Below are 6,178 nucleotides of genomic sequence, written 5' to 3'. Positions count from 1 at the left end.
CACACACACACACACACACACACCCTGAAAACTGAGTTTTCAGCTATGATAGGATGGGAGGTTAGACACACCTTATTATACCCTCTCCCTTTGTGGTTTAGACATAACCAGTGACCAACATTAATGATAAAATCAAGCTTATAAGATTGACAAAACAGACTCTTGGTGGCAATAAAATACCAAATTACAAACAGGACCTAAGTCCATGCCAGGCAAGAGATAGGTCACACACCCCTGCACTTAAAGAATCAACTATGCTCTAACTGCTACACGCGTTTTCTTTTTCTCTAGCAGCTAAACAAGCAATGCCCTCAAGATAAGCAATATTGAAATAATTTGCAGCTCCACTAGGTACTAACCGACCCCCCAGCCCCTCTTCCACAGCCATAACTACAGCTTTTATTGGACAAGAGAGTGATTTCAGCAACTTTCTCCTGATAAGACCATGGACTGTGGTTCTGGCTGGTGCAGAGATTGCACTCTCAAGCCTTCATGTCCTGAAAAGTCCTTTTCACATATAGGGTCTAATAGTAATGCATTTAATTGTTAAGTCTCCACCCCAAAGTGAACATGGGTCAAGTGTCAGGAACACCTCATGAATATTCATACTTCCTCCTGTAATCTGTTGAATATGCATGTTTGGCCAACCCTTTCAGTGTAAAGCTCCTACCCCAACCCCTCCTCCTTCCAATTACCTATCTCTGGGCTTCCTTCAGAGACTGTGCTTCCCAGGCTGCAGGATGGCTGTCTTGCAGGTTGTAACCCTTTATAAGAAAGAAAGTCTCCTTCTCTCTTTTTCTAAGTTTATATCTTTGATTTTTTTTTAAGTTAACATATCATATCATAATTTTTCAAAGAAAAAAATTATTTTGAGACAGGATCTCACTCTGTCACCCAGGCTGGAGTACAGTGGCAATCATAGCTCACTGAATCTTCGACCTTCCTGACTTAAGCAATCCTCCTACCTCAGACCCCAAGGAGCTAGGACTGCAGGTTTGTGTCACCACATCTGAGTAATTTTTATTGTTTATATTTTTAGAGGCGAGGGTCTCACTATGTTGCCCAGACTGGCCTCCAACTCCTGGTTTCAAGCAATCCTGCCTCCTTGGCCTCCCAAAGTGCCGAGATTTACAGGCATGAGCCACAGAGCCAAGCCTTTCAAAATTTTTTATCTGATTTCACAGTGCCCTGTCCTGATAATCTAGTAATCCTCAGCATGAACTCTTGGCTGTAGAAAAACTTCATCTTGGCCGGGCGCGGTGGCTCACGCCTGTAATCCCAGCACTTTGGGAGGCCGAGGCGGGTGGATCATGAGGTCAGGAGATCGAGACCATCCTGGCTAACAAGGTGAAACCCCGTCTCTACTAAAAATACAAAAAATTAGCCGGGCGCGGTGGCGGGCGCCTGTAGTCCCAGCTACTTGGGAGGCTGAGGCAGGAGAATGGCGTGAACCCGGCAGGCGGAGCTTGCAGTGAGCCGAGATTGCGCCACTGCAGTCCGCAGTCCGGCCTGGGCGACAGAGCGAGACTCCGTCTCAAAAAAAAAAAAAAAAAAAAAAAAAAAAAAGAAAAACTTCATCTTTTTTTTTTTTTTTCTCTGCTACCACACACCTGTCAATTCATCTGCCTGGAATGATCTCTCTGGAATTTTTCTCTACCTTACATCATTTTTCTATTTTAAAGCTCATCATTCTCACTCTGTTTATTTCAACCTACACAGGTTCTTTTCTTACATGTACTCCTATAATAGTCCACAACTTCTCGTGTATGTACATTCTCTACTGTATTGTTTTCCAACTTTTATTGTTACCTATATTATTAAATCTTCAGTCAGACGAGATGTTGCTTTAAGTGAAAAGAACTCTTACATTTTTTTGTAAACGTTCCACAACACCCCATTAATGCTAAACATATAGATATCTCATTTTGAATATTGCATTAATGAGGAAGTCATGCCTAGTTTATTTATTCTTTCATAATGATGTATGTGTTCAAGTAGCCTAATGAAAGCTTTTTTAAAAAAGTCATCTAAGAAATATAACACTAAAACATCTTACATTCTTTGAATTAGTAGTTTAAATAAAGTTTTGCTGTCTGGGCAGGGCGGCTCACATCTGTAAATCCAACACTTTGGGAGGCCGAAGAGGAAGGATCGCTTGAGGCCAAGGGTTCAAAACCAGCCTGGTCAACATAGTGCAACTCTTCCATCTCTATAAAAGAAAAATTTTAAGATTAGCCAGTGTGGTCGCATGTTGTGTCGTTCCATCTACTGGGGAGGCTGAGGCAGGAAGATCACTTGAGCCCAGGAGTTTAAGACTGCAGTGAGCCATGGTTGGGCCACTGTACCCAGCCTGGGCAATAAATAAATAAATAAATAAATAAATAAATAACGCATTTAACCTTAGTGAAGACTGAGAATTTCTATAGTAAAAAAATCTACTTAACTGTCTCAATAAATAAATAAACGTTCTCCAGAAGAACTGTGATACACTATGGGGAGTTATAAGATTCCCTGCAAGATAGGATTTTTTTTTATCTTAATGTGTTTTAGGGGCTACCAGGAGAAATCATTTAAGCACCTTGACCCCAAATGAAATACCACTCTCCCACTTCCTTTCTCTGGTGAACAAACTGTTCTCTACATTACCTGAAGTGTATAGGCTTTAAATATTAAACAACTGCTGCAACTTAGCTCTGACAGAGTAATTTGGATTTAGGCACAAATGTTGTGTTTGAAATGTTAAGAGCAGGATATCTTTTAGCAGCATGTTTTAAAAGGTCTGTGACCGTGTTTGTGTCTTGCCACTGCAGAGAGTCACAGCTTAGCTCAGGTGGCTCCGTAGATGAAAAGGTTCAGATGGCCAGTTCCCTGTTCATGCTGTTGCTCCAGCAGAGACTTGCTAAGAGCAGAGTTGACTCTCTTGAGACAGGCGATAAAGGTCTGTGGAAACCAGATGATGGGTAGGAACAATCCCACCCCACTCCACTATTTGCTGTTAGGCTAACACTTCTTTTTTTTTTTTTTTGGTTTATTATTATTATTATTATTATTATACTTCAAGTTTTAGGGTACATGTGCACAATGTGCAGGTTAGTTACATATGTATACACATGCCATGCTGGTGCGCTGCACCCACTAACTCATCATCTAACATTAGGTATATCTCCCAATGCTATCCCTCCCCCCTCCCCCAACCCCACAACAGTCCCCAGAGTGTGATGTTCCCCTTCCTGTGTCCATGTGTTCTCATTGTTCAATTCCCACCTAAGAGTGAGAATATGCTGTGTTTGGTTATTTGTTCTTGCAATAGTTTACTGAGAATGATGATTTCCAATTTCATCCATGTCCCTACAAAGGACATGAACTCATCCTTTTTTATGGCTGCATAGTATTCCATGGTGTATATGTGCCACATTTTCTTAATCCAGTCTATCATTGTTGGACATTTGGGTTGGTTCCAAGTCTTTGCTATTGTGAATAATGCCGCAATAAATATACGTGTGCATGTGTCTTTATAGCAGCATGATTTATAATCCTTTGGGTATATACCCAGTAATGGGATGGCTGGGTCAAATGGTATTTCTAGTTCTAGATCCCTGAGGAATTGCCACACTGACTTCCACAATGGTTGAACTAGTTTACAGTCCCACCAACAATATAAAAGTATTCCTATTTCTCCACATCCTCTCCAGCACCTGTTGTTTCCTGACTTTTTAATGATTGCCATTCTAACTGGTGTGAGATGGTATCTCATTGTGGTTTTGATTTGCATTTCTCTGATGGCCAGTGATGGTGAGCAGTTTTTCATTTGTCTTTTTGCTGCATAAATGTCTTCTTTTGAAAAGTGTCTGTTCATATCCTTTGCCCACTTTTTGATGGGGTTGTTTGTTTGTTTCTTGCAAATTTGTTTGAGTTCATTGTAGATTCTGGATATTAGCCCTTTATCAGATGAGCAGGTTGTGAAAATTTTCTCCCATTTTGTAGGTTGCCTGTTCACTCTGATGGTAGTTTCTTTTGCTGTGCAGAAGCTCTTTAGTTTAATTAGATCCCATTTGTCAATTTTGGCTTTTCTTGCCATTGCTTTTGGTGTTTTAGACATGAAGTCCTTGCCCATGCTTATGTCCTGAATGGTAATGCCTAGGTTTTCTTCTAGGGTTTTTATGGTTTTAAGTCTAACGTTTAAGTCTTTAATCCATCTTGAATTGATTTTTGTATAAGGTGTAAGGAAGGGATCCAGTTTCAGCTTTCTACATATGGCTAGCCAGTTTTCCCAGCACCATTTATTAAATAGGGAATCCTTTCCCCATTGCTTGTTTTTCTCAGGTTTGTCAAAGATTTGTAGATATGCGGCACTATTTCTGAGAGCTCTGTTCTGTTCCATTGATCTATATCTCTGTTTTGGTTCCAGTACCATGCTGTTTTGGTTACTATAGCCTTGTAGTATAGTTTGAAGTCAGGTAGCGTGATGCCTCCAGCTTTGTTCTTTTGGCTTAGGATTGACTTGGCGATTCAGGCTCTTTTTTGGTTCCATATGAACTTTAAAGTAGTTTTTTCCAATTCTGTGAAGAAAGTCATTGGTAGCTTGATGGGGATGGCATTGAATCTATAAATTACCTTGGGCAGTATGGCCATTTTCACGATATTGATTCTTCCTACCCATGAGCATGAAATGTTCTTCCATTTGTTTGTATCCTCTTTTATTTCCTTGAGCAATGGTTTGTAGTTCTCCTTGAAGAGGTCCTTCACATCCATTGTAAGTTGGATTCTTAGGTATTTTATTCTCTTTGAAGCAATTGTGAATGAGAGTTCACTCATGATTTGGCTCTCTGTTTGTCTGTTGTTGGTGTATAAGAATGCTTGTGATTTTTGTACATTGATTTTGTATCCTGAGACTTTGCTGAAGTTGCTTATCAGCTTAAGGAGATTTTGGGCTGAGACAATGGGGTTTTCTAGATATACAATCATGTCGTCTGCAAACAGGGACAATTTGACTTCCTCTTTTCCTAATTGAATACCCTTTATTTCCTTCGCCTGCCTGATTGCCCTGGCCAGAACTTCCAACACTGTGTTGAATAGGAGTGGCGAGAGAGGGCATCCCTGTCTTGTGCCAGTTTTCAAAGGGAATGCTTCCAGTTTTTGCCCAGTCAGTATGATATCAGCTGTGGGTTTGTCATAAATAGCTCTTATTATTTTGAGATATGTCCCATAAATACCTAATTTATTGAGAGTTTTTAGCATGAAGGGCTGTTAAATTTTGTCAAAGGCCTTTTCTGCATCTATTGAGATAATCATGTGGTTTTTGTCTTTGGTTCTGTTTATATGCTGGATTACATTTATTGATTTTCGTATATTGAACCAGCCTTGCATCCCAGGGATGAAGCCCACTTGATCATGGTGGATAAGCTTTTTGATGTGCTGCTGGATTCCATTTGCCAGTATTTTATTGAGGATTTTTGCATCAATGTACATCAAGGATATTGGTCTAAAATTCTCTTTTTTGGGTTGTGTCTCTTCCCAGCTTTGGTATCAGGATGATGCTGGCCTCATAAAACGAGTTAGGGAGGATTCCCTCTTTTTCTATTGATTGGAATAGTTTCAGAAGGAATGGTCCAGTTCCTCCTGGTACCTCTGGTAGAATTCGGCTGTGAATCCATCTGGTCCTGGACTTTTTTTGGTTGGTAAGCTATTGATTATTGCCACAATTTCAGCTCCTGTTATTGGTCTATTCAGAGATTCAACTTCTTCCTGGTTTAGTCTTGGGAAAGTGTATGTGTCCAGGAATGTATCCATTTCTTCTAGATTTTCTAGTTTATTTGCGTAGAGGTGTTTAGTATTCTCTGATGGTAGTTTGTATTTCTGTGGGATCGGTGGTGATATCCCCTTTATCATTTTTTATTGCATCTATTTTTCTTTCTTTTTTTCTTTATTAGTCTTGCTAGCAGTCTATCAATTTTGTTGATCCTTTCAAAAAACCAGCTCCTGGATTCATTAATTTTTTGAAGGGTTTTTTGTGTCTCTATTTCCTTCAGTTCTGCTCTGATTTTAGTTATTTCTTGCCTTCTGCTAGCTTTTGAATGTGTTTGCTCTTGCTTTTCTAGTTCTTTTAATTGTGATGTTAGGGTGTCAATTTTGGATCTTTCCTGCTTTCTCTTGTGGGCATTTAGTGCTATAAATTTCC

General features: G+C 39.8%; 1 annotated feature.

Annotated features, from left to right (window-relative positions):
* Nucleotides 273–902: an enhancer, noted in NCBI's record as "OCT4 hESC enhancer chr18:25828556-25829185 (GRCh37/hg19 assembly coordinates)". NCBI's record gives its function as "activates a minimal SCP1, AML or CMV promoter by ChIP-STARR-seq in primed H9 embryonic stem cells {active_cell/tissue: H9 hESC(primed)}" and the evidence as "EXISTENCE:reporter gene assay evidence [ECO:0000049][PMID:30033119]".

This window comes from Homo sapiens, chromosome 18 (assembly GCF_000001405.40).
Source record: "Homo sapiens chromosome 18, GRCh38.p14 Primary Assembly".
In the NCBI taxonomy this organism is placed as follows: Eukaryota; Metazoa; Chordata; class Mammalia; order Primates; family Hominidae; genus Homo; species Homo sapiens.
This window is presented reverse-complemented; position numbering and strand designations above follow the sequence as displayed.